Source organism: Homo sapiens, chromosome 5 (genome assembly GCF_000001405.40).
Source record: "Homo sapiens chromosome 5, GRCh38.p14 Primary Assembly".
Lineage (NCBI taxonomy): Eukaryota > Metazoa > Chordata > Mammalia > Primates > Hominidae > Homo > Homo sapiens.
The window spans coordinates 132,402,029-132,428,793 of record NC_000005.10 but is presented as its reverse complement, the minus strand read 5'-3'; the positions used below and the strand labels follow the sequence as shown (position 1 = coordinate 132,428,793).

The window sequence follows — 26,765 nt, the reverse complement described above, 5'->3', positions numbered from 1 at the left end:
ATAAAACTTTACTGAATGAAGGTTTAGCGCGTAATTCAGAAAATAAGCAAGAAAGTGTCACAAACACCAAAGCAAGTTAACCAAGCTATATGTTCTAGAACATTCTTCCTCTCCTCCTGTCACTCTGGCTCTCCTGCGCCTACAGCAGACAGGACAGAGTCTGCTCTTTCACCTGCTCTTTTCTAGTCTTTTCTTTCAGGTATCCCCTGAAATGCCACTTCCTCAGAGGCTATCCTTGACTACCCAATCCAAAGCAGTCACTCAGTCACTTGATTACACTTCAGTCTATTTTAATTTGTTAGAGAGCACTTACTGCTAGCACCAATGTTTTATTTCTGTGTTTTCTTTCTATCTCCACCATTATGCTGTAGCTCCATTTGAGTAGGGACCTTGTCTGTTCACTACTGTATGCCCAGCATCTAGTACAGTGTGTGGCAGAGAGTCAAGTGTTCATTAAATACTTGTTAAATGAATGCATGCCACTGTTACTGCATGCTGAGTTAATTTGATGTATGGCTTCTATCACTGCTATCAGATTAGGTGCTCTAGAGAAACTCAGAAAGGGCTGAGTCTCCTTATGACATTGCAGGGTGGGAGGGGGACCTCAGTTCCCTTCCTAGGCCTAAGTGGGATATGCTGCCTGCTTGCAGCTTCCTTGTGGCCTGGACTTCCCCATGGAGGCCAGATGCTGAGCAACCCCAGCCCATGTGTCTGAAGGCTCTGAATACCGAAATGTTCCTCTAGCTTTCTGTGAGAGCAGTTGGAGCTGCCCATTGCCTACACTGATAGAGGAATGTGCCCAGGGCTCCTGGCTGGCCTGGCACCCAGCAGGAGGCAGGCACAGTGGCCAGCACGGTGAGGACACATCACACTTCTTCTTTTTCCCATATCCCTATGCTGAGAGTGCATGCAGCTGCCTGGCTGGGAGCAGAAACTGGCCTCACTTTCTGGGGCCTGCTGGGCAGACAATGCAGCTCTCTAGCTGTGCCACAGAACAGGGCAAATCTTTACTAGCTGTGGACTCACTCCCTGCCCCTCCCATTCCTGCAGAAATTGCTCTACCAGCTCAGCAGAGGGCCAGGTCTGGAATCTCTCACCTGTCCCTGGCCCTTCCTTTAAGCCCTCTGGTTTACTGGAAATCATAAACTGTGAGACACAGCCTTTATCACACCCTGAACAGTTCACTCTTAATATTTAATGCTGGAGGCTAAAACAACCAGGGACACTGGAGGCCTCCTGCTTACTCTCAGTGACTGATGTTTGCACCTGGTAATTGAGGTCAGGTTGCTTCTCTTAAGTCACATGATTTGCATCAAAGCAGGAAGGTGTCGGGGCCACTTGTTGCAAAGAGACCAGGAGGCGATCCCAGCAACGCTGCAAACCAGCTTTGGCAGCAAAGGCTGTGCTTTCATGGGAGCCAGCCCTAGGAGTGTGGAGCTGGGCTGGCAGCTGGTAAATGACCCTCTCGGGGCCTGAATAAACCCTAGCTTTTCACTCACAGCAAACTCAGGATGCCTTCCTCCCTCTAAAAGACCTGCTGAATTGAGTCACTTTCAATCCTTTCTGGAGTAGGATGGGGCATTAGTTAATTAACAAATTAATTAAGCATGCTAAATAGTCACCCAGAAGATACTGGTCACTTAAGGGTCTCCAAATCACAGTATAGGTCCCACCCTACCCAGACACCTAATCTTGTTTCAGGGTTTGCTTGACCTCAGGCATTTATCTCCTGGTTGTCATGGAATCTGCTCAGATAAACAGCAGCACACCAACCTGGCCCCTCTGCCAGCCTCAGATCCTTCTAAGGCAGTGGAGCTCCCTGGTGGCCACCAGCCACCCGGGCTCCAGGCAGCCCAACACACACTCCCATGCTGAGGTCTCTCGCATGACCTCTCTAGGCACACAGTAGGTGCTCAGTAAATGCTGTGGCATGAAGGACCCTCCTGGAGTGTCTGAGTTCTCAGGCTTCAAGGCCCCTAGATAAGCAGATTTCTCTCCCCTATCACCATAGTCACCCCAGGGACTGCAGGGCAGGCCGAAATCAGCCAGTGACTCAGCTCCTTGGGCAATTCAGCTGGCCCACAGACCACTTCCTCTGCTCCCCAGCGCCGGATGGATGCAGATCTGTGAGTAAGGAGCCAGCTGCAGGCAAGCAGCTCGAGGGCAGGTGGGCATGATGTCTGGCTACCACTCGCACTGGACGCCACACACACAGCCAGGGTGGCAGAAGGCCCCACCTGCCATGTGCCAGTGGGACACCACCCTCATGGTCTGCGTTTCCAGGTTTCCAACTAAGGACTGAGCACACTCTCAACATGGACCTCCTAACTGCTCTCGAGGATGGACAGCTGGCCTCAAGGGAACACTGCAAAGTGGCTCTAGGAAGAAGCCACTGTCCCTCCAGACCATAAAAATGGCTACCAAGGGCAGAGCCAGCAGCTTTCGCTGTAAAGTTTCTCAAGAAAATCACAGATATTCCCCTCTGTGATGTTCAGCTCAGCCTGGAAAGGAGGTAAGAAAGACCAGACTACCTGATCTCTCAAGGTCACCAAATTCAACCACTGTCCTGTTTAAAAGCGGGTAGTACAGAGGCCAGTGTGGGCTCTGGAATGAGACATGTGAAGCCCGGGTCTGCTGGGTCTGCTGCACGGTAGCAGTGTAGTCTTAGGCATTATTGAAACTCTGTTTCTAAATCTGGTTATGTGAATGAAAGGGGCTAATTTATGTAACACTTTTAGTATACTAAGCCCTCAATATAGTTTAGCTACTTAACTATTGTCTTCTTTGAAGGACGCTGAACTAAACAGAAGAGAAACAGGGAAATAAACAGCATGGCAACCTACATCAACAGAAACTTAATTATTCACCCTGGATAACTGAGTGTGTGAGTGTGACTGCAAATAACAATATAGCAAAGAGAAGTTTGAGATCTTTGGCTCAGTCATTCTAGAATCCTGAGTCACAGCAAATGCACAGCCTCCATGAGGCTGAGCCACACATGAAAGCTGCTTCCACCCACAGACTGGTAGAGGCCACTGACATGCTTAACGATGATGATGATGATAAAAATAGCTACCACGGGCTACCACGTGCACACACATGTTAAGCAGTTCAAACAGGTTATTTTGTTTAATTCATACCACAAATCTTTGAGGTAAGTATTCTTGTTCCCGTTTTATAGAGGTAGAAACTGAGAGTTGAAGAGGCTGAATAATTTCTCAAGCACACTCCCAACTCGACCACCCACAAGCAAAAAGGCAGAGCTGGGATTCAAACACAGGTATGACTGTGTGTGGACATCTCCCCTGTGCTATGCTCCCTGAAGGAAAATTCTAAGTGGTGTTGTTTCTGGGAGAAATCTACCTGTGTGGTCTTTAAACCTACTCTGACAGGAGCAAGGGCCACCACTCTGTATCTAAGACCACTGGGAACAGTCTTCAGGCAACAAGGTGACCAGGGCAGCTGCAGAGGGTATCTATGCCCCTGCCCCCTAGCGCAAAAGTCTGTTTCTCTTTCCAAATGGCCCGCTGGGAGCAACTATTTAGGGAGACCATACCTCCTCCCACACTCAGTTCCCAGGCCTGAGCCACAGAGTCCTGCCACAGGAGGGAGGACCTGCCTGTCCTGCTCCCTCCCCACTCCAGGTTCCTGGAGGCCTCTGTGATGATTCCCCAGGAAGGACTACAGGATCTGGCAGGCAGCAGGTGGCGGTGGGAGGAGGAGAGTCCTGGGAGCACAGCACTCCTAACCCCCTCTGCCTCTCACAGAACAAAGAGGGAGTCATGCCATGTCCCCTGCTCCCACAAATGCCCCACCCAGAGGGGCTAATGCCTAGGATTGAGGGTCTTGTGTGCTGAGGAAGTCCTGTCCCCCAATCCCCTACAAAAGCCAGAACCAGCTACTAAGGGGTTAGACACAGACAGAACTGTCTATATTAACATTTCCTCCTAAAAAACAACAGGAATCCTGGGGAAAGACCACTGGCCTGGGACTCCATGAGCCCTGGCTTCTATCTCTGGCTTTATCAGGTGACCATAGGCAAGTCACCTAGCCTCCATGGTCTAGGCTCTCCTGCCTGTTGGGTGGGAATCATTACATATCACAATCATTACAGCTGACCTTCAGGGAGGCTGTACTCTGGGTCAGGAATTGTGTTGGGTGCATTATCATATTTATTCTCACAGCACCCTTTGCAGTAGCTACTATTTTCATACCCATTCTCAGATGAGGAAACTGTGGAACAGGCTGGTTAGGGGACATGCCCAAAGTGACAAACTTAGCAAAGGTGGACCTGGCACTCAGTACCACATCTGTTTTTCCATGCTCTTAACCACTGTAACATACAGAGCCCTTTTACAGAGATCAAGGACAGAGGTAAAAGTGTTTTGAAAGCAAAAAAAAAAAAGTGGGGAGGATGCATAAAATAAACATAAATCACCCCCTGCCCCGCCCAGACATAATTCAGGGAAGAGTCCTAACCCCCAAGAACCTTCTGTGGAACTTATTCGCAACATCAGAGACCTCCAACATAGAAATGACCCTCAATAAGTCATTCCTCTTTCCCTTCAGGCAGGAATAATATAACTAACTGAATTATACAGGTGAGACCACGAAGGTCAAGCAAGGGTGACCAGCTTAGGCCCCTGGCTGGCAGGTAAGGAGGAGACTGACCCCAGCCTCCTGGCTCCTAGGGGAGGAAACAGTGATGACAAAGGCCCCTTTGCATGGCCAAGGTGGAGCCCTTTCTACCAAAGTTTAAACGTTTTAGTATAATATCCAAGTGCATCTTTTCCAACCTTAAAAACATATTTAATTTCCTTATAAAGCTGGTTGGCACTCTCCTCCTCCTCCAAAGCTCTGTATTAGGCAGGGTTCATAGTTGTAGACAACAGAATGAACAGTGGTTAGTTCAGCCAGAAAAGGGATGATATAGGAGGATACTGGGTTGATCAAAGGCTCTCTGGGAGGGCTGCAGATTTAGAGCCAGTCAGCCAGGAACGATGCCTGAAACATACCTTAGAGCTGGAGAAAGAACAAAACCCTACCTTTCTTCAATAGCTGGCAAGGTGGCAAGGTCTGGCCCCATGCAGCCTGGGCTCTTCCCACTCTCCTCTCTCCCTAATGCGTTGCCCTACTCGCTGCTTCCCAGGCAATCCCACCTCAGGTCTATGAACTTGCCATTCCCTCTGCCTGCAACCTAGACATTCACATTGCTAGCTCCCTGGCTAGCTCAAATGCCAGGTTTCTGCACAAATGCTCCTCCTTAGAGAGGCCTTCCTGGACCTCTAGGTCTCTGGCCCTAGTACTCTATCCCCTCTCCCTGCTTTCCTCTTCTACTTCACTGCTCCTTAACATTGTGTTATACATTGTCTGTCTCCCCAACTGGAATGTAAGTGGCACCAGGGCAGGGACTTGGGTTGTTTTGTTCCTTGCTGTAAGCCCAGGGCCCAGGGCCAGACCTGGAACAATTAGGTGCTAAGTTATTTGCTGAATATTCTATGAAGGAATGACAAAGGAATGCATAAAGAACTTCAAAGTTCAACTCCTCGAACTTCAAACTTCAAATCCCCAACTCCTCCTGCCTATGCTGGACGATTAGGGCAGTAACAGGAGTCAACTTGTGCTGTGCTGTCACCTTGCCTGGATCCGCATCAGCCCTGCAGCTCCCACTTTGGAGGAGACTTGCCCAGGGACCTACAGCTCTGAAGCTTCTCTGACAGCCTCTGCAGCTCTTGGAACTTATCTGGGCTGCTGCTGTGCAGACCATGGATGCATAGCTGAGTTCCTGCCCCTGATTTCCTAGAGTCTCAGAAAGACAGGGAAGTGACTTACCCAAAGTCCCCTTTCACCCTATAAACAGTTCAGCCCAGGGAGTGAGGCTGACACGCAAATGCAGCTATGTATAGACTCAGAGTCATCCAAGGTCAGGGCTGGGTGGAGCCTTGGTCACATGCAGGCCAACCTGTGTCTGGAGATAATGCAAGCCAGTGCAGGGGTTAGCGTGTACATGGACTCTGGAGTCTGGCAGATCTAAGCCCCACCCACCAACCTGTGACCTTGGAGAATTATTTGAAAAGACATTATTTGAAAAGCAGATGTAAAATGGAAATAAAAGTTCCTATTTAAAACAGTCAGTTGTCCCCCATTCAGAAGCCTATTACAGTTGTCCCTTAGCATCTTCGAGGAATTGGTTCCAGGACAGCTCCTCAGATACCAAAAGCCACGATGCTCAAATTCCTTATAAAAAGTGACGTAGGGCTGGGTACAATGGCTCGTGCCTGTAATCCCAGCACTTTGGGAGACCGAGGTGGGCAGCTCACTTGAGGTCAGGAGTTCAAGACCAGCCTCGCCAACATGGTGAAACCCCGTCTCCTCTAAAAATACAAAAAATAGGCGGGCTTGGTGGCATGCACTTGTAGTCCCAGCCACTCGGGAGGCTGAGGCATGAGAATTGCATGGATCCGGGAGGCGGAGGTTGCAATAAGCCAAGATCGCACCACTGCACTCCAGCCTGGGTGACAGAGTGAGACTTCATCTCAAAAACAAAAAACAAACAAACAAAAAATGTGTAGCACAGTCAGCCCTCCGTATCCACAGGTCCACACACAGAACCTGCTGGTATGGAGGGCCAACCGTGCTTCCTATTCTTTTTTTTTTTCTTTGAGACAGAGTCTCACTCTGTCACCCAGGCTGGAGTGCAGTGGCACAATCTTGGCTCACTGCAAGCTCCACCTCCCAGGTTCACGCCATTCTCCTGCCTCAGCCTCCTGAGTAGCTGGGACTACAGGCACACGCCACCATGCCTGGCTAATTTTTTGTATTTTTAGTAGAGAAGGGGTTTCACCATGTTAGCCACGATGGTCTCCATCTCCTGACCTCGTGATCCACCCGCCTCGGCCTCCCAAAGTGCTGGGATTACAGGCGTGAGCCACCGCGCCCGGCCACTTCCTATTCCTTATGGTATCAAATTCAAACTCCTTGGCTTGATAGTCAAACTCTCACCACCACTGAAATCTGGTTAACCAACCTGTCCAATACAATCTCTCTGCACTCCTCCAAATAATGTTCAAGTTGGACCTAAGTGCTCCCTAGTCCTTCTCACACCTGTGTGCCTGGAAACACCACCCACCTTCTTTTCTCTCATCTGAATTTACTAGAGCCCCAGAGGCAGGTCTCATAGTCTTCCCTGACTTGGGTTTTTTTGGCACTGACTACTGGGCATTCATGATGGGACCTGCCCCTGGGGCTCTAGTATTTGGTGTTACAGGGAGGAACACAGTTTTGATTCCCCAAACAGAACAAAGGATCCTTGAGGGCAACTGTCTGTTGTCATTTCATGTCTCCCCCAACCAGGCATTAAAACACGCATAGAAATTCCTGCTGATGGGCTCTTGTGAAGTTACAAGTTACAATTTGGTGAAAATGCCCCCAAGTATTTCCTCTATTTCCCAAGGAAAGGAAAAGAAAGATATAGAAATTAAATTAAAGACAAACTTAAATCATTCCCATTTCTGCATGCTTGGTCTGTGTGGGAAAAAAAAATCATTTCATCTCTGTCTGCAACGCAGACTTGACAAGTTGAGAAACTCCCTAAAAACAAAGCATACAAAAAAAAATCATACCAATTAGTCTCACTTAAAGGTTTCAGGAAGGAAAACACAGTTAAACTGAAAACGGTTAACTGGTGTTTAAAAAAAAGAAACCAGCCCGGAAATGTTTTTAGGACTGCGTCTATCGAAGTCCCTTAGGGACTGATTTGTCCTTCAATATATTCATAGCACCTGCTTTCACCAAAACCCAGCAGCCCAACGCTAGAGCTTTGTGAGTGAGATGCAGAGTGGAACTGGACATGGAGCTACACAGCTCTGAATCATGTTCCCCAACAGCAAGCAACAGCCACATGAAGGATTCCTGGCAGTGCCCTCTAGCCACTACAGTGGGCCATGGGAAGCCATACAAACAGCAAATGGCATCCTGCAGCCCCAGCTTCTCCTTCTGCCGCATTCCTCTCTCTGTCCATGCCTCTGCTTCCCCATTGGCCCACTGGCCAAATACACTCAGAAAAAAGTCCATGCACAAGCCTCCACCCAAATTAATTCCACATTCTTTCAAGAGAGGCCTTGAAAGGTACTGAAATTCAGGGAAGCTCTTCACTAGACCCCTCACTGGAATGCCAAGAAGTGATGTAGTGGCCCTTGACATAAGGGCTTATTCCCATTTATGAAACTGAAATTATTTTATTCTAAGCACAAAGCTAACAAATGTGATCAAAACAGAAAATAAACAATCCTCATTCAAGTGCTCAGAATGCAGCACAAATAGGATCTTGGGATAAATAAGATAGAGCTGTGAAATTAATAGGGGTGAGAAGAGGGGAGGGTCAGCGGGAGAAGTCCACCAAGGGGCTGAAAGGCCTGTGCAGGCAGATGGAAACCCTGGGTTCTTAGGGGCCAGGCATGACAGTGCAGAATAGTCCACCCTGGGAGTGACTGGAAGAAGGACTGCAGGGTCCCCGTGAAGAACACCTCACACTCCCAGCTTGCCACACACTTGTTGAACTATTCTGGGTGGATACCTCCTACCTGGATGGCAAAGGAGACAGGCCCAAGATGCAGAAGGGAAGGGAAGTCACACTTACAATGCAGAGGATGCGCCCTTGTCCCTCATACTCTCTGAAACATTGCAGGAATAATTCTGGTTTCACTGCTATTGTTTGTTGTTTTTGTAAATAAACCGCAAAAATCAACAAATGGCCTCAAAATTGAACACATGTGATTTACACCAATTCATATATCAAAACACAAATAATGCAGAACAAATTAGAGAAAAACTCCGGTCAGGCTCTCCACTCACCCATGGCTGGTGGCTGGCATTCAACTCTCCAGCAGCCAGGGAGTCCATTTTCTTGTTTCTCTGCTGGCCATCCTCAGGACTTGCGGCGGGGAGTGGGGGGCCCAGGGTGTGCTGCCACCTGCAGGCCAAACAAGGAAAAAACATAAGCAACGGCCCCAATCATCCGCCTGAAGCCCCTCCTATATCCTCAGGCCGCTGGAAGACCTGGATGCCCGTCGTGGGACAAGAGCCAGAAGCACTCACCCAGTGCCAACACCTGCTGGGCCACAAACAGTTTCTGCTTGGGATCCCAACACAGGCAGCAGAGTCAGCAAAAACTCTAAGATATCAAGAAGTCAAGCATTTCTTAACAACAGCAGCAAACTCTTACACAGGGCTGTGGTTACCAGACACTGCTCTAAATAACTTACACTTGTTTACTTATTTCATCCTCACAACAACGGGTAAATATTTTAGGTCTCTGCCAATTTGCCTGATTACTGAATTAGGTTGAATCATTAAAATGAATAACTTGATAATACCCAATTTCAAAGAGGGGTCACATATGAAAACTCTATGAGAGATTCTCAGCATCTTGCAGACATTCATTCCCTAAATATTCATTGAGTGTTTGTTATGGACGAGACACTGTTCTAGGACCTGGGAAGAGAGGAGCGAACACACAAGACAAAGTCCCTGTTCTCACGAAGCTTCTGTTCCAGTGCGGGGAGGCAACAGTAGAAAAGGAGACAAATGCCATGCAGAAGAAAAAGCAGGGAAAAAGAGATAGAGCACAATGACAATGCTGTTAATACCCATTCATTTATTCACTTATTTCCAAGGACTTACTAACCATGTCATTTCTTGCCCACAGCTGCATGCCAGGCACTATGCCAGATAAAATTGTGGGTAAGAAATAGACATGGTCTCTGCCTGTATGGAGTACTTACATAAGAGGAACATCTATTATTAGTCAAATAATCACCTAAATAAATGCAAAGATGTTAATCTGTGATAGGTGTGATAGCAGAATTGCATGTAGTCCTTGTGAGAGCATCTCAAGGAGGCCTGACCTTGTCTAAGGGGAGGCCTGAAATGGAGTGTGGGGAGGAGCAATGTGTTAGTCCATTTTGCATTGCTATAAAGGAATATCTGAGGCTGGGTAATTTATAAAGAAAAGAGGTTTAAGGCGGGGTGCAGTGGCTCACACCTGTAATCCCAGTACTTTGGGAGGCTGAGGCAGGTGGATCATCTGAGGTCAGGAGTTCGGGACCAACCTGGCCAACATGGTGAAACCCTGTCGCTACTAAAAACACAAAAATTAGCTGGGTGTGGTGGTGCACGCCTGTAATCCCAGCTACTTGGGAGGCTGAGGCAGAAGAATTGCTTGAACTGGAGAGGCTGAGGTTGCAGTGAGCCAAGATCGTGCCACCGCACTCCAGCCTGGGTGACAGAGCGAGAATCCGTCTCAAAAAAAGAAAAAGAAAAGAAAAGAGGTTTGGCTCACAGTTCTGTAGACTGTACAAGTGTGGCACCAGCATCTGCTTGGCTTCTGGTCAGGCCTCAGGATGCTCACAATCATGGTGAAAGGTAAAGGGGGAGCTGGCATGTCACATGGCACAAGAAGGAGCAAGAAAGGGGAGGAGGTGCCAAGCCTCCTTTAAACAACCAGCTCTCGCCTGAACAGAGTAAGAACTCACTCATTACCTCGGGGAGGGCACCAAACCATTCATGAGGGATCCAGCCCCATGACCCAAACACCTCCCACCAGGCCCCACCTCCAATGCTGGCGATCACATTTCAACATGAGATTTGGAAGAGACATGCATCCAAACCATATCAAGCAGTGTCCCTGTCAAAAGCACACCCTGTGCACAGGCTGGATCATGGGTAGTTGGCAGGGACAGGAGGCAGGGTGAAGCTGGAGAAGCAGTGTAGGTGACCCTTGCATGACACTCCCAGCCACAAGAGGAGTTCGAGCCTTAACCCTGGAGAACTGGAGCACCACACAAGGGTCTTAGGCAGAGGATTAATGCATTTAGATGTGTACTTTTAAAAGATTATCTATGTAGGCTGAGTAATGGCCCTGCCAAAGATGTCTATGTGTGAATCCCTGGAGGTTGTGTGTATGTTCCCCTATATGGCATAAGGGACATTGCAAATGTGATCGAGTTAAGGGTCCTGAGAACCGGAGATTATCCAGGTGGGCCCAACATAATCACAAGTGTCCTTATAAGAGGGAGGCAGGGGGAGATCTGACTTCAGATGAGGAGCCTCAGAATGATGTGGCACGAGAAAGACTTGGCTTCGAAGAGGAGGAAGGGGCCCTGAGCCAGGGAATGCAGTGGCCTCTAGAAGCTGGAAAAAGCAACAAAACGATTCTCCTCTAGAGCCTCCAGAAGGAACGCAGCCCTGCCAAAGCCTTAATTTCAGGACTTCTAAAAGAGTAAATTTGTGTTGTTTTAAGGCACTGATTTTGTGGTAATTTGTTACAGCAGCAATAGGAGAATAGGACATACTAGCTCCTGTAAAAAACCAGACTGGACGTAAGGGCGAGGCGAGGCAGGGACCAGCTAGAGGTCACTGCTGTGGTCCAGGCAAGAGGTGTGAGAGCTTGCACCACAGTGGTGGCCGTGGGGATGGAGAGGAGTGGTGCAGTTGAAGGACCCCAGCAGGGGAAGAGCTGACCAGTCAAAGGTCTCGCTGCAATCTGGCAGATGTTACTGGAATGCCACAACAGGCCTCTTTCAGGCTCAGGCCCTGGCTGGCTCACCCTGGCTACAGCCCAGCAGCTTTACAGAAGGAGGAAGCTCACACCAGGGCTGTAGACCACTCCCAGGCAGATGCACCATTTACTCACTTAACCTGCCAACCCCATTCCCACAAAAAAGTTCAAGAGTCTCCAGGAACAAGCCCTAAGAAAGAACACGTGGGGAATTTTTACTAGGCAAAAGGTAGCAATTATTTCTGCCAAGCATTAAGCCTTGCAGCGAACTTTTTTTTTTTTTTTCCGTGAACAGAGATTTTGTAATTCTGGAAGAGAGGTGTCCAGATTTAAATATACACATCTCCAACACAGGTGATACAGAACCATGATTAAATCTAACATCTAAAAACTTCATGGTCAGCAGAAAATGCAGAAATTAAAGAAAGACTAAACAAGAAACTAGGAGACTCAGCGTCTACTCTATTCTTGCTTAATAATCCAGACCTACTTAAAAAATGGGATCCTAATTTGGTCCTGTTTAATGGAGCTGTCAAGAAGAAAAAGCAATAAAAATTATTCGAGAGAATTTTAGAAACATTCTCCCATTCTACTCCAAAAATATAAATATGCACACTCCAAAACCAAGTACCTTGGACTGTACTGAGAGATGACAATGACGTCTTAACCGTACTATTTCCCCATGATGTTGCAGCAGGCCACAGGGACCTAACTGAATTGTAAGAACATGAAAGGACCCAGGAATGCCTGCAGATGACAAAATACCAGGTAGTCCTGTCAGTGTAGGAGCATGTTAATTTAAAAATAGATATATTTTTCTGGTGACAAAAGTGACATGTCTATTACTGGAAAACACAAACAACTCCTGTAGTCCAATGATCCAGAGATAACCCATTTGGAAATATTTTCTTCCAGTCTTTTTTCCCCATTGATTTCGGCACAGGCGCGCGCACACACACACACACACACACACACACACTCATACTTCATTTTTAACAAAATTACAATACTGTATATACTTTTATAACCAGTTTTATATAACAGTATATAATCCTCCATGTATTAAATACAGTTTTTCATAATGCTAGTATTCCATCATATGAAAGTAGGAAAATCACTTAACCAATCCCTAATTGCTGAACAACTGAGTAGTTTCTAACTTTATGGTAACATAAGTCATTGGGAGGAACCTCCTCATCTACGGGAATATCCCTAGATATAAATCTATGTCTATAGCTCTGATTATTTCCTTAGGGTCCTATTTCCTACATCCATGCATTGCCATTACTATTTTGCTATAATTAATTACCATCTGTAATGTACTTAACATTTCTCTTTACATCAACTCATTTCTGTCCTTAAACAAATGTATTTTAAAAGCAAACCTGACTCGGTGTAGTGGCTCACACCTGTAATCCTAGCACTTTGGGAAAACAAGGCAGGCGGATTGCCTGAGCTCAAGAGTTCAAGACCAGCCTGGGCAACATGGCGAAACCCCGTCTGTACTAAAAATACAAAAAATCAGCCGGGTGTGGTGGTGCGTGCCTGTAGTCCCAGCTACTCAAGAGGCTGAGGCACAAGAATCGCTTGAACCTATGAAGCAGAAGTTGCAGTGAGCCAAGATCATGCCACTGCACTCTAGCCTGGACAACAGGACAAGACTCTGTCTCAAAAAACAAACAAACAAACAAACAAACCTTATTTAAGTGGAAAACCAACATCATATGCCATAAATGAAGGCAATCATAATAGGTTTTATTGGAATAAAAAAACACTGTGGTTAAAATATAGTCAAAATACTGCTACCCCTTTGCCCATTCTTTTATATAAAATGGGAGATTAGAGAGGCTTAGAGAGGTGTTAAAGGTATGCTAGCACCAAGCTAAAGTTTTTCACCTTCCGTTGATCAGAAGACTGAAAAGGAATTGAGCATGGGAATAACTTTCTCACTGTGAGTCAGTGTTAGACAATGTGGCAAATGTGTCCCAACTAGAATTACCCTGCGCCACCTGAAATAACCTCATATGAAAACATGCCTTAGGACATATTCCTGGAAGTAGAACTGGGATAAAAGGCATGGACACTTTAAGCAGCTTCTGATAACCACAGCCCAAACACCATCCAAGTTAGTTTTACCACAGTTTTACTATGACTGTGTCCATTTTACTTCACGTTCACAAATATTAAGTACTATAAACAAAATATTAAAATAGTTAAAACGTTTCAGCTTTTTGATGTAAAATATCCAGCAGCTGAATCTTCAAAGGCTATTTTCATGCTCTTCTAGCTAGTCCCTGACCCTAGGGCAGGGCTATTTTATGAACCTTTAATTAGTGGTAAGCTTACAACAAACTGATACTGCACTTGGTTTCACCAAGCTGAAGTAAACTCTGTAAAAGATGAGGAAGTGACTTTAGCATTTGCAAATATTTCAGAATGCCTTTGTGCCAGCAAAGGTCAAACAACGATCAGAATTGCATGGATTCCAAAGTATACTTTTGGGAAATAAGAGACTCAGAGAAGCATTACTCAAGATACAATTCACTATGAATTTTCAGCAATTCAATGAAAAGTCTAAAAGAAATACATGTTTAAACTTTCCTATCCTGGTATAATATGCAATTGCACAAATAGGTTAGATTGTAGATTAATGCAATTGTTAATATTTCTAACATAGAAAAAGGAAATTGTATTTTGAAGCAAGAAGAATTAATAACAATTGGAATTGTTCAGGTTATTTTAATAATTCCCAGGCAGATACCTATGTGTATATGTGCCTGTGGGGAAAAGGTAAGGAAAAAGAGACGTGAGAAAACATACTTATGTAATTCCAGCACTTTGGGAGGCTGAGGCGGGTGGATCACTAGGTCAAGAGATTGAGACCATCCTGGCCAACATGGTGAAACCCCGTCTCTGCTAAAAATACAAAAATTAGCTGGGCATGGTGGGACCTGTAGTCCCAGCTACTCGGGAGGCTGAGACAGGTGAAGTGCTTGAGCCCGGGAGGTGGAGGTTGCAGAGAGCTGAGATTGTACCACTGCACTCCAGCCTGGGTGACAGAGCGAGACTCCATCTCAAAAACAAAAACAAAAACAAAAAATAAAAAAAAAGATTTATTATGTTTGGAAGGAGGTTATAGGTTCTGATTAATTTTTGCCAGAGACAAAAATACAAGTTTATCTAAGCTTAAGAACTAAATGATGGCCTATTGTAAGATATAGAACTTCCAACTCACTGAATAAAAAGAAGGAAAGAAGAAACAGGGGACAAATACACTTTGATGAATCCATAGAGTCACAAGGAAAAAAAAAACACACATGATAAATACATGGCAAAACAAGATGGCAAAAATAAGACCACATTTATCAGTGATCAAAATAAATATGAATGAATTAAATTCCATTGTTAAAAGACCAAGACTTTCACCCTAAATGCCCATAAATGGAAAATGGATAAATTATGGTATGTATTCCATTTTAATGGATGTGTATGTGTGTGTATGTATGTGTATGTGTGTGTATACACCACAGAAAGAGGCCCATGAGTTTCAGTTTAGAAAGATGTAGAAATATATTTGTATAAGCATAGGAAAGGGTCCAGAAAAACACACCAATATGATATCTGTGGTTGCCTATAAAGAGCAGTTTACCTATGAGTTTCAGTTTAGAAAGTTGTAGAAAAATATTTGTATAAGCATAGGAAAGGGTCCAGAAAAACACACCAATATGATATCTGTGGTTGCCTATGGAGGCTGAAGTGGACTTTCCTGTCTCACTTTACAAATGTCTATACTGTTTGAATTTATTACAAAAGCATATGACTAAAGAAACATGAAAAAATGGAATAATAAACATAAGGGCAGAATCAGCAAAATAGAGGACATAGAGGACCAAAAAAAAGGTGGTTAACAAAACTTGAAGTATTTATTTGAAAGTAGACAAACCTCTAGTGAGACTGATCAAGAATAACTGACAGAAGATTTTTTAAAAATGAGATTACAGAAAAAGGAAGAAATGACAAATAAAACAGACATTTTAAAACTTATAAAGGAATAATATAAACACATGATAATACATTTGAAAATACAGATGAAATGAATAATTTCTAGACAATAAAAATTGCCAAATTTGGCACAAAAATGTGAATAACCACTTAAGAGACTCAAATAATTTTGAAACCTCTTCCCCATAGAGTTTCAGACCCAGAAGATTTTACAAGTGCCTCCTACTAACTTCCAAGGAGCAGAAAATCTCTATCTTAATGGAGTTGCTTTAGAAAATAGAAAAAAAGAGAAAACATTGCCCAATTTGTTACTTGATTTTGAAATGTTAAATATGGACTGTACAAATAAAGAAAAATACAGGATAGTTTCACTTATAAACATAGATGTTAAACTCCTAAATAAAATATTATCTAATCAAATACGAAAGTGTATTACAAATACATCATGATAAAGTAATTCACCACATTAGTCGATTGTGGAAGAGGTTACTAGTGCTCACCAGTCTCTCGTTCTTTTCCTCCTGGGAACACCACCAGGCTACATTTCCCAGCCACCTTACAATTAGGTGAGACCCATGAGACTAGTCCATGCCAATGGAATGTGAATGGAAGTGCATCTAATTTTCTGGCTCATGAAAACAGCAGCATTTTCTCTATTTTCTTTTTTTCTTTCTTTGTTTTTTTTAGACGGAGTTTAGCTCTTGTTGCCGAGGCTGGAGTGCAGTGGCGCGATCTTGGCTCACTGCAACCTCCGCCTCCCGGGTTCAAGCAATTCTCCTACCTCAGCCTCCCAAGTAGCTGGGATTACAGGCATGTGCCACAATGCCTGGCTAATTTTGTATTTTTAGTAGAGACGGGGTTTCTCCATGTTTGTCAGGCTGGTCTCAAACTCCCGACCTCAGGTAATCAGCCCGCCTCGGCCTCCTGAAGTGCTGGGATTACAGGCGTGAGCCACCGTGCCCGGCAAGAGCAGCATTTTCTAAAAGCAATCAGTACTCAACACCATCCTGCTGAGGTAGGGCAGCGGCGGACTCCATGTTTTGAAACTTAGGAACTTAGACCATCTTTTGTCAAATTCAGATGGTTTTCTCAAAGTAAAGATCATTCAAGTTTTGTTTCAGTAATGGGCCGTATGATCAGATCTGTGTGATTAGGCTGAATTCATTATTATTGAGACAAAAATTGAGTTAAAGGGGATTCTTGGTATTGGCCTGCAAAACCTGTCATAACTTAAATGTAAAGTTTCTGATGATTTAGTCACTTTACTCTCAGCTCTTAGCTCTTTCACTCACCTGTCCTTGTTCTACACAACCTGCCTGATGGGTAACTTGAATACATATTTTCTCTCTTCAGGGGATGGGAACGCCCTAAGGGCAGGGGCTGTTTCCACAGCCCTGGGGTGGAACCCCCTTCCTGCATACCAAGAATGAGTTGGCTATACTTGACGAAGGGCAAAGACAAGGTGGCACGCATCTTTCATGCTTCTGCTGGCAGATGCAGTGGACTGGAAATTTCCTGGTCTGGGAAGGACTCGGTCTGTGAGTGCACCTATCCCTGACATCTATGCTAGCCCCGGGATGGGGGCCCCAGCAGAGTAAGGCCCTGACTTCACATGGACAGGGCCAGGGCAAGGGGGCCACATCCTGGCCTAGTTGCTCTCCATGCCCGTGATCAAGGGAGATGAGCTGCCAGCTTGCTCGGTCAAGGAACACTTGGAAGGCACTCCAAGTGCCCCCAGGTGCACCAGATCTAGGAAACTTAAGCAAACTACATGAGGTATGGGGTGGGGCCCAGTGGGAAAAATGAGTCTGACAGGTCAGAGGGAGTAGATTATGAGCTCAGGTTAGGCATTCTGTTCAGCATTTTACGTACACCCTCCCACTTTTGATTTTTACCAACACCCAGGGAGGTCGGTGCTCTACAAAAGGGAAAGGCGTGCTCAGGTGGCCCGACTTGCCACGGTTCCAGCTCGACCCCGGGCTGCTAGCCCCTTGGCACGCTTGTCTGAGGCCTCCCAGGTCTTCCAGCCTGGCCTGGAGGCTCAAAGCCACGAAACCCAAGGGTGCCGCTTCTCAGGCCCTCCCCGCCCCCACGGCAGAACCCCTGACCCTGCCCGGGTCAAACGCCTGGCGTCGGGCCCGCCGGGTCCGCAAGGAGGAGCCCGCGAGGCGGCCGCGAAGGGGCTGTGCTTACCTCGCCCGGCGCGGGTTGCGGCCCCAGGGCCCGCGCTCCAGGCTGGCGGCCGCTGCATTCTGCGCCCCTCGCCTGAAACGGCAGCTGCGCCAGTCCTGGCCACGACCGCTTTCATTTTCCTCAACGACATCGGCAGGAAAGCGAAAGCGAAACCCTCCGGGAGGCGGGACCGGGGCCGAGCGCGCAGTGAACGCGGGGCGCGCGGCGGGCGCGGGCCGGCAGCCAGAGGCGGGGGCCCCGGGCTCGGGTCTGCGCGTGGCCTGGCCCGGTGGCGTTCGGGGTGGAGCTGGGCCAGCCGAGTGCCCGAGAGCTAGTCCGCCACGCACACCTGCCTCGGCGGGACCCGGGCCCGGGCTGGGCGGGAGGCTGGGCAGGCCCGCCGTAAGTGGAAAGGCGCCCGCGGCGCTTCGGCCGACCGGGACAGGTTCCTCCATCTGCCCTTCATTCAGCGTTTACTTGGGCCTGTGGCTGGCAGCCGGCCCGGGACCTGACCGCTGGCGGCGCCTCGGGCTCTGGCCTGAGGAGGCAGATGGCAGCCTGAGCAACTGGGACCAAGCCTCTGAGGAGTCCCCGTTGGAGGGGACTTGACCATGAGGTACCAGGCATCTCATCTGGGGTCAGCGGAGAACCCAAAAGTCAATGACGTCGGTGAAATGGGGGTCCCTTCATCCGATAAGAGAAACTGGAACAGCAAGCCTATGGTTTGGACTCCCTGGTCTAAGCGGTGCCCATCAATATCTAAACATTTAGAGATTCCAGGTTTCAGTGTCTGGCCGTCTCTTACTGTCAGTGATTTGGGGCAAAATATTCAAGTAGTTAGACTTAATTACTTCCCCTGTGGGATGGGAATAATAATAATCATACCTACTGCCAGAATTTTAGGAATGAACAATAGAAGGAAGAAAATACTTAAAATTTTCTGACAGCCTCTAAGTGGGTTCCTTGAGGGCAGCAACCAAGTCATTTACCTGGATGCTTGATAGACATTCTCTAATGGCCAGTCCATCAACTTGGAGCTATCTCCATGATAACAGGTTAGTTGTCAAAGTTTGGACAATATTATCTGGAGTTTAAAGACTGAGGAAGCCCTGCAATTTTTTTTGGAAGGTGTCTGAAACTTAGCCTGACAATTAGCCCCCACAATTATGCCACGGAACCAGGTTTTTGTTAGAGTGGAGCATGGCCACAACGTTTGATGGACATTCCTACAGCGGTGTTCAGCGCTGGCCACTGAGGTCTGAAAATACTTTTGCAAGCATTTCTATTCACTTGCTTTTAGAAAACATTGGTAAGACACCATACTCCAAACACAGTTTGCCCTGTCTGTACGTTTGTTGCAAAGCAAACATAAAAGTTTTTGCCATAGAGCAAACACAGAGCAGTCTGTTATAACTGGAACAAGAAACCAAAATGAGCTATTAAATCTGCCCAGAGTCACTTTGGTTTACCTGTTTGTAATTTGGGCACATTCCCTGCAAGATGGAGGCCCTGGTCTGTGACTGATGTAGGGGCTTGTATGTGTCCTTGCAATAGTTCCCTCAAGAGCAGGTGGGAAAGTGGGGCAGGCCAAATGATGACCTTAGAAAAACAACAGCCTGTTTCTCTGTCCAGAAGATGCTACTTTTAGTCTGTAGTATGAAGGAAAAAGAAAAAACAAAAAAGGCAAGCCTTGGAGCCTCTTCCTCCTTATAGGACAATTCTTGACTCCAAGATAGCAAAGTAGAGTTAAATCTGCTTCTGCATAAAAACTATGTTTGGGAAGATGAAGATCAGGAAAAGACAGGAAGAGATGTAAGCAGATAAGCCAAATCCTGGTTACCTTTTATAGACATCACACATGTGAACAGAGAGCATCAGGAGGTCAAGGCCGGCCTGATGTTTTTCATCTTGGCAACTTCCCAAGGTCCAGGTTTGGTCCTTGACTTTGTGGGGCCAAAAATCTCATCTGACTTCCAGTGTACCAGAGTCGATTAGCACTGTTGCATAAAGTCAGAATGACAACTGACTGATTTCATTCACTATTTGCTAGAGAAGTGCTATGCTAAATGCATTACATGCATTATTACCTCATTATTTCTCCCTACTATCATGTGGTATATTATAATCTATTTATTTTTCATTTGGGAGAAAAAAAGATGAAGGAAATCCCAAGGTCACATAGTTACTATGTATGTTAGTGGCAGGGTTTGAATCAAGGCCATCTGACCCCAAAACCTGAAGCTTATCCATTCCTGTTAGAAGCAAGACTGTCGGGAACACTGGACTCGAGGCCACCTGATGAACACATTCTCTTCTTGTAGCCATGCAGTTTGGAGCCCCATAGTCAGAAGGTGGCTTAGTGAGCCTAAAATCAGAATCGGAAGAGTGAATTGTCTGACTTAAATGTTTGATGATATCAGGCTCGGGCAATGTGGGATGTCTCTTTCCACAACACAGGTCAAAACCTATAGGAAGTACTGTTCACTCATCCCTGCTGGCCTGGCCAGCCCTTCTCCCTAGATGGGGCCTGGTGGACACCATCTGTTTGTGTCGATGAGGCTCTCTGTATTATGGTACCCAGGCCGCCTCTCCTCAGATGGACATTTTTAGATAGAGCAAGGCGTTACTGAGTAACATTACTCAGTAAGGTCTCTCAGCCCTTATTTTTCTTTATGGAGACATTTTGTATCTTTGCTCTGATTGGCTTGATTTATAATTTAACTTCTAAAGGACAGCTTTCTATCCCACCTTTTGGAGACAGCTCTGTTTTCCTTACTATCCTTCCTGATCTAACCCTGGAACAAAAGTTTGTGCAGTAGCAAGTTCTGCAACAAGAACTTTATCCAGGCCTGCACTGATAGTCAGTAAAGACACAAAAGAAGCAAAAGTCCAAGTCCAAGGCCAGTCCCAAAAGACTTTACTACAGAATCGGGCAATGGAGGGTTGGGGGGCGGGGCACAGCTGATGATCACGCAACCCAGCTGAAGAATGATATAAATGGAATGAAAGCATGGTGCAAGCAGCATCTAACTTAGGAGTCACTGGTTAGGAAAAAAAAATACCTGATGTGTGATTCAGATAAAAATGAAAAAAATAACCCTTTTAGATATTTCATTCAACAAATATTCTGTGGCAACTACAAAATGCAGCCACCCTGCTAATGCTGGGGATTCAGTGATGAGCAAAAATAAATGTGGTCTCTGCCCTCGGGAAACACACTTGAGTGAGGTAATAAAGCAATCAAATAATTGGTCAAATATAGAATGCCATCCTAAATACTACAAGATGCATTTGACGCTATAAGAGGGAATGCCAGAGGCAAAACTCCTCTAATGGGCCACCTGTACTCTGGGGCTTCCTGTCAGTCTGGCCAGCACTTTCTCAGAATGGCTCTGCAGTCTGAGGCTCTTCCTATCTACTCCTCCATCCTTCCCTCTTCTCTTTCACAGGGGTCAGACCTGCATTACGGTGTGGGGCTCTCTCTGCTTACTCTTGCTTCTGCTCCTCTTTATTCTTCATAGGCATTTTCCCCAATAAACTCTTCCAGGTTTAATTCCATCTTGGTGTCTGCTCTAGGAGGACCCAAGCTGACACAATGATGCCCTTCATTGACTTGGAGAACCTTGGAAGAGGCCCAAGTTTTGGAGGGCTCCAATTCTGCACATGTTGGCTTAGGTGTCAGGTGGGCAAGGAAGCTCCATATCTGCTTTCCCACTCAGAAGATAATGCTTGTGCTTTGGTACTAAGCTATCAACCATGTCCTCTGTGGGAGCTAGGGTCTGGTCTTGTTTTTAAAATGCTTGTTCCATGGATAATCAGCAATTCTCAGTTTAGATCTCAATACTAGAACTATTTCCCTCTAGAAAAGCACAACCTACCAATAGCAAAAAACATCCCTTAACTTCCTTGAGGAGGAGTTAAAAGTCAAAAAATCGAAAGGAGATGAGCAATTGTTCCTGAACAGCCAAAGGGAAATAATTTTGATGTAGGGGGGCCCTTAGTTTTCTGGGAAAAGGAAGTCTTTTTTTTTTTTTTTGAGATGGAGTTTTGCTCTTGTTCCCCAGGCTGGAATGTGATGGTGTGGTCTTGGCTCACTACAATCTCTGCCTCCCAGGTTCAAGTGATTCTTCTACCTCAGCCTCCCAAGTAGCTGGGATTACAGGCACCCGCCACCACACCTGGCTAATTTTTGTATTTTTAGTAGAGACGGGGTTTCCTTATGTTGGCCAAGCTGGTGGCGAACTCCAGACCTCAGGTGATCCACCCACCTCAGCCTCCCAAAGTGCTGGGATTACAGGTGTGAGTCACTGCACCCGGCCTGGAAGTCATCTTTTATAAGTGTTCCTTAAGGAAAGAACTTACATGTTTGGCAGCACAGATGGAAATCTGTCATTGTTGGTAGAAAGAAGCTAGCACTCCAAAAGGCACTTTTGCTCTGAGCTTAGCCTCCCTGAGCAAGGTGCCCTTGGAGAGCTGGGTGTCAAAGGATGACCCTGTCACTGAGGTTCAGTCACCAGCAACCTGTTCTGAGTGAATCATCTGTTTGAAGGCAGAGCTCTTCAGGTCCACCGCTGGTTCTTCCCATGGAAGGAGGCTTGAACACAAATCATGAGTACTACATGAATATTTGAACGTGGCACTCAGTCATAGTCAAGTATAGCATTTCCCTCACCAACTGCACACCCCAGGGAGCCCATATCCATCTCATGGTGGTGTGGAGGCTGACAGTAGGCGAGTTTACATGCTTTGTTCCCAAGCTGTCAGGAAGCCCAGATACTATTAGTCTGCTTGGTCTAAAAAGAGAAAGAAGTAGGTGTGGGCTTCATGAAGGATGTTTTGCTGAGGGCTGTGTCTCTCATTCAAGGATGAATGAGTAAAAGCATTTGTTAAGTTTTTTTTTTTTAAAACTACCAAATGTACAGTGAGTGTACTACTTAAGCACCTTAGGGATAAGCCTGTCTTTTCCGCCAAAGGTAGTTACAATTTCCCTCATGGAACCAAGCATAATATGATAAGGACTAATTATTTGTAGAGTCAATAATTACATTATAATTTACATGCATGATCTAATTTAATCTTTATAGAAACCTGATATAGGTAAGGAATTTTACAGTTGAGGAAACAGTCTCAGGAAAGTTAAGTGACTTCCCCAAAGTTATAGAGCTAGTAAGTGAAGACATCTACTTTTGGACCATATACTTTATCTACTCTGGATCTGGGCACTTAGCCAAAGCCATAGTGCCTCCAAGAAAGAGGGTGTCATGGGGTAAACCTTGAACATGAATAGAATTGGGATAATCAGAGATGAAGCAGGACAACGTATGGATGGAGGCAGGAGTGTCAAGGAGAAATAGAGAGCTAAAAGTGTGTCATATCAGGAGTTGAAATGCATTAAAAATATGTGAAGTTTGGACCCTTTTATCGTAATATAATGACCTTCTTTGTCTTGTTAAAATCTATTTGTCTGATATTAATACAGCCATTCAAACTCTCTTTTGGTTATTTGTATGGAAGATCTTTCCAACCTTTTAATTTTCAACCTATTTGTGTCTTTGAATCTAAATTGAAACTGTTGTAGACATCATAATAGTTGCATCATGATTTTAAAATCTATTTGGTGAATCTCTGCCTTTTAATTGAAGAGTTACATTTAATATAATTACTGAAAAGGGCTTACTCCTGCCATTTTGCTATTTGTTTTCTATGTCTTTTATCTTTTTTGCTCCTCAATTCCTTCATTACTGCTTTCTTTTGTGTTAAATCCATATTTTCTAGGATAATTCTAAATCTGTATCTTTTTAAAGTATATATTATTTATTTATTTTCTTAATAATTGCCCTAGAGATTACAGTTCATATATTAATTTGTAACAACCTGGTTTAGATTAATACCAAGTTAATTTCAATAATATGCAAACACTTTGTTCTTATTCAGCTCTACTCCCTTTATATTATATTTCCACAAATTACATCTTTACACATTGTATGCCCATCAACCTAAATTTTTAATTATTGCTTTATGCAGTTGTCTTTTAAAATTATGTAGGAAAAGAGAGGTTAGGAAAAAAATTAATACTGCCCTTTATATTTACTTAGGTATCTACCTCTCCCCATGTTCATTATTCCTTCATGCAGATTCAAGTATTCAAGTTACTGGCCAGTGTCCTTTCATTTTAGCCTGAAAGACTCCCTTTAGCATTTTTTTTTTTTTTGAGATGGAGTCTCCTTGTTCTGTTGTCCAGGCTGGAGTGCAGTGGCACAATCTCAGCTCACTGCAACCTCTGCCTCCCAAGTTCCAGTGATTCTCATGCCTCAGCCTCCCAAGTAGCTGGGATTACAGACATGTGCCACCAGCCTGGCTAATTTTTGTATTTTTAGTAGAGGCAGAGTTTCACCATATTGACCAGGCTGGTCTCAAACTCCAAACCTCAGGTGATCTGCCCACCTTGGCCTCCCAAAGTGCTGGGATTACAGGCATGAGCCACTGTGCCTGGCCCTTTAGCATATTTTTTTAAGTACTTTAAGTTCTAGGGTACATGTATACAATGTGCAGGTTTGTTACATAGGTATACATGTGCCATGTTGGTTTGCTGCACCCATCAACTTGTCATTTACATTAGATATTTCTCCTAATGCTACCCCTCCCTCAGCCTCCCACCCCCTGACAGGCCCTGGTGTGTAATGTTCCCTGCCCTGTATCCATGTGTTCTCATTGTTCAATTCCCACCTATGAGTGAGACCATGTGGTGTTTGGTTTTCTGTCGTTGTGAGAGTTTGCTGAGAATGATGGTTTCCAGCCTATCCATGTCCCTGCAAAGGACATGAACTCATCCTTTTTTATGGCTGCATAGTATTCCATGGTGTATATGTGCCACATTTTCTTAATCCAGTCTATCATTGATGAACAACTGGGTTGCTTCCAAGTCTTTGCTATTGTGAATAGTGCCACAATAAACATACGTGTGCATGTGTCTTTATAGTAGCATGATTTATAATCCTTTGGGTATATACCCAGTAATGGGATGGCTGGGTCAAATGGTATTTCTAGTTCTAGATCCTTGAGGAATCGCCACACTGTCTTCCACAATGGTTGAACTAATTTACACTCCCACCAACAGTGTAAAAGCTTTCCTATTTCTCCACATCCTCTGCAGCATCTGTTGTTTCCTGACTTTTTAATAATCGCCATTCTAACTGGCGTGAGATATCTCATTGTAATTTTGAATTGCATTTCTCTGATGAGCAGTGATGATGAGCATTTTTTCATGTGTCTATTGGTTGCATAAATGTCTTCTTTTGAGAAGTGTCTGTTCATATACTTTGCCCCTGTTTGTTTTTTTCTTGTAAAATTGTTTAAGTTCTTTGTAGATTCTAGATATTAGCCCTTTTTCAGATGGGTAGATTGCAAAAATTTTCTCCTGTTCTGTAGGTTGCCTGTTCACTCTGATGGTAGTTTCTTTTGCTGTGCAGAAGCTCTTTAGTTTAATTAGATCCCATTTGTCATTTTTGGCTTTTGTTGCCATTGCTTTTGGTGTTTTATTCATGAAGTCCTTGCCCATGCCTGTGTCCTGAATGGTATTGTCTAGGTTTTCTTCTAGGTTTTTATGGTGTTTTTTTGTTTGTTTGTTTTTGTTTTTTGAGACAGTCTCACTCTGTCGCCCAGGCTAGAGTGCAGTGGTGCAATCTCGGCTCACTGCAACCTCCGACTTCTGGGTTCACACCATTCTCCTGCCTCAGCCTCCCGAGTAGCTGGGACTACAGGCACCCACCACTACGCCTGGCTAATTTTTTATATTTTTAGTAGAGATGGGGTTTCACCATCTTAGCCAGGATGGTCTCGATCTCCTGACCTCATGATCCGCCCTCCTCAGCCTCCCAACGTGCTGGGATTACAGGCGTGAGCCACTGCGCCTGGCAGGTTTTCATCGTTTTAGATCTTAACGTCTAAGTCTTTAATCCATCTTGAATTAATTTTTGTATAAGGTGTAAGGAAGGGATCCAATTTCAGCTTTCTACATATGGCTAGCCAGTTTTCCCAGCACCATTTATTAAATAGGGATTCCTTTCCCCATTTCTTGTTATTTCTTGTTTTTGTCAGGTCTGTCAAAGATCAAATGGTTGTAGATGTGTGGTGTTATTTCTGAGGCCTCTGTTCTGTTGCATTGGTCTATATATCTGTTTTCGTACCAGTGCCATGCTGTTTTGGTTACTGTAGCCTTGTAATATAGCTTGAATTCAGACAGCGTGATGCCTCCAGCTTTGTTCTTTTTGCTTAGGATTGTCTTGGCTATGCGGGCTCTTTTTTGGTTCCATATGAACTTTAAAGTAGTTTTTTCCAATTCTGTGAAGAAAGTCATTGGTAGCTTGATGGGGATGGCATTGAATCTGTACATTACCTTGGGCAGTATGGCCATTTTCACGATATTGAGTCTTCCTATCCATGAACATGGAATGTTCTTCCATTTGTTTGTGTCCTCTTTTATTTCACTGAGCAGTGGTTTGTAGTTCTCCTTGAAGAGGTCCTTCACATCCCTTGTAAGTCGGATTCCTAGGTATTTTGCTCTCTTTGTAGCAATTGTGAATGGGAGTTCACTCATGATTTGGCTGTTTATCTGTTATTGGGGTATAGGAATGCTTGTGAATTTTGCACATTGATTTTCTAACCTGAGACTTTGCTGAAGTTGTTTATCAACTTAAGGAGATTTTGGGCTGAGATGATGGGGTTTTCTAAATATACAATCATGTCATCTGCAGACAGGGACAATTTGACTTCCTCTTTTCCTAATTGAATACCCTTTATTTCTTTCCCTTGCCTGATTGCTCTGCCCAGAACTTCCAACACCATGTTGAATAGGAGTGGTGAGAGAGGGCATCCTTGTCTTGTGCTGGTTTTCAAAGGGAATGCTTCCAGTTTTTGCCCATTCATTATGATATTGGCTGTGGGTTTGTCATAAATAGCTCTTATTATTTTGAGATACATTCCATCAATACCTAGTTTATTGAGAGTTTTTAGCATGAAGGGCTGTTGAATTTTG

At 45.0% G+C, this 26,765-nt stretch overlaps 2 long non-coding RNA genes across 7 annotated transcripts in view, besides 13 other annotated features; one reads left to right on the top strand and one right to left on the bottom strand.

Annotated features, from left to right (window-relative positions):
• The window catches only part of CARINH (colitis associated IRF1 antisense regulator of intestinal homeostasis), a 65,116-nt gene extending 47,251 nt beyond the window's left edge, over positions 1–17,865 (bottom strand). Inside the window, exons 1-2 of the long non-coding RNA NR_161242.1 lie at positions 17,753–17,865; positions 8,854–8,971 (exon numbers count right to left, since the gene is read on the bottom strand). This is a non-coding gene — a long non-coding RNA (colitis associated IRF1 antisense regulator of intestinal homeostasis). The remainder of the gene's footprint in view (positions 1–8,853; positions 8,972–17,752) is intronic.
• Positions 285–869: an enhancer, noted in NCBI's record as "H3K27ac-H3K4me1 hESC enhancer chr5:131763617-131764201 (GRCh37/hg19 assembly coordinates)". NCBI's record gives its function as "activates a minimal SCP1, AML or CMV promoter by ChIP-STARR-seq in naive H9 embryonic stem cells {active_cell/tissue: H9 hESC(naive)}" and the evidence as "EXISTENCE:reporter gene assay evidence [ECO:0000049][PMID:30033119]".
• Positions 649–748: a silencer, noted in NCBI's record as "silent region_16322". NCBI's record gives its function as "represses an Ori minimal core promoter by ATAC-STARR-seq in GM12878 lymphoblastoid cells {active_cell/tissue: GM12878}" and the evidence as "EXISTENCE:reporter gene assay evidence [ECO:0000049][PMID:35858748]".
• Positions 870–1,456: an enhancer, noted in NCBI's record as "H3K27ac-H3K4me1 hESC enhancer chr5:131763030-131763616 (GRCh37/hg19 assembly coordinates)". NCBI's record gives its function as "activates a minimal SCP1, AML or CMV promoter by ChIP-STARR-seq in naive H9 embryonic stem cells {active_cell/tissue: H9 hESC(naive)}" and the evidence as "EXISTENCE:reporter gene assay evidence [ECO:0000049][PMID:30033119]".
• Positions 1,059–1,138: a silencer, noted in NCBI's record as "silent region_16321". NCBI's record gives its function as "represses an Ori minimal core promoter by ATAC-STARR-seq in GM12878 lymphoblastoid cells {active_cell/tissue: GM12878}" and the evidence as "EXISTENCE:reporter gene assay evidence [ECO:0000049][PMID:35858748]".
• Positions 1,169–1,238: a silencer, noted in NCBI's record as "silent region_16320". NCBI's record gives its function as "represses an Ori minimal core promoter by ATAC-STARR-seq in GM12878 lymphoblastoid cells {active_cell/tissue: GM12878}" and the evidence as "EXISTENCE:reporter gene assay evidence [ECO:0000049][PMID:35858748]".
• On the top strand, positions 1,377–9,378 carry LINC02863 (long intergenic non-protein coding RNA 2863). Of its 6 annotated transcripts, NR_186385.1 has the most exons (4): positions 1,377–1,452; positions 2,012–2,126; positions 2,284–2,512; positions 3,182–6,130. It is a non-coding gene; the product is annotated as a long intergenic non-protein coding RNA 2863 (long non-coding RNA). The 6 variants fall into 6 exon arrangements; NR_186384.1 differs by lacking the exon at positions 1,377–1,452 and having other exon boundaries at positions 2,084–2,126; NR_186383.1 differs by lacking the exon at positions 1,377–1,452 and having other exon boundaries at positions 2,084–2,167.
• Positions 2,159–2,358: an enhancer, noted in NCBI's record as "active region_23075". NCBI's record gives its function as "activates an Ori minimal core promoter by ATAC-STARR-seq in GM12878 lymphoblastoid cells {active_cell/tissue: GM12878}" and the evidence as "EXISTENCE:reporter gene assay evidence [ECO:0000049][PMID:35858748]".
• Positions 2,709–2,928: an enhancer, noted in NCBI's record as "active region_23074". NCBI's record gives its function as "activates an Ori minimal core promoter by ATAC-STARR-seq in GM12878 lymphoblastoid cells {active_cell/tissue: GM12878}" and the evidence as "EXISTENCE:reporter gene assay evidence [ECO:0000049][PMID:35858748]".
• Positions 3,539–3,658: an enhancer, noted in NCBI's record as "active region_23073". NCBI's record gives its function as "activates an Ori minimal core promoter by ATAC-STARR-seq in GM12878 lymphoblastoid cells {active_cell/tissue: GM12878}" and the evidence as "EXISTENCE:reporter gene assay evidence [ECO:0000049][PMID:35858748]".
• Positions 7,844–7,983: an enhancer, noted in NCBI's record as "active region_23072". NCBI's record gives its function as "activates an Ori minimal core promoter by ATAC-STARR-seq in GM12878 lymphoblastoid cells {active_cell/tissue: GM12878}" and the evidence as "EXISTENCE:reporter gene assay evidence [ECO:0000049][PMID:35858748]".
• Positions 12,976–13,164: a silencer, noted in NCBI's record as "fragment chr5:131751322-131751510 (GRCh37/hg19 assembly coordinates)". NCBI's record gives its function as "represses an EF-1alpha promoter that drives an FKBP-Casp9 reporter gene in an ReSE screen in HepG2 liver carcinoma cells {active_cell/tissue: HepG2}" and the evidence as "EXISTENCE:reporter gene assay evidence [ECO:0000049][PMID:32094911]".
• Positions 17,567–17,856: a silencer, noted in NCBI's record as "silent region_16319". NCBI's record gives its function as "represses an Ori minimal core promoter by ATAC-STARR-seq in GM12878 lymphoblastoid cells {active_cell/tissue: GM12878}" and the evidence as "EXISTENCE:reporter gene assay evidence [ECO:0000049][PMID:35858748]".
• Positions 17,927–18,226: a silencer, noted in NCBI's record as "silent region_16318". NCBI's record gives its function as "represses an Ori minimal core promoter by ATAC-STARR-seq in GM12878 lymphoblastoid cells {active_cell/tissue: GM12878}" and the evidence as "EXISTENCE:reporter gene assay evidence [ECO:0000049][PMID:35858748]".
• Positions 18,467–18,516: an enhancer, noted in NCBI's record as "active region_23071". NCBI's record gives its function as "activates an Ori minimal core promoter by ATAC-STARR-seq in GM12878 lymphoblastoid cells {active_cell/tissue: GM12878}" and the evidence as "EXISTENCE:reporter gene assay evidence [ECO:0000049][PMID:35858748]".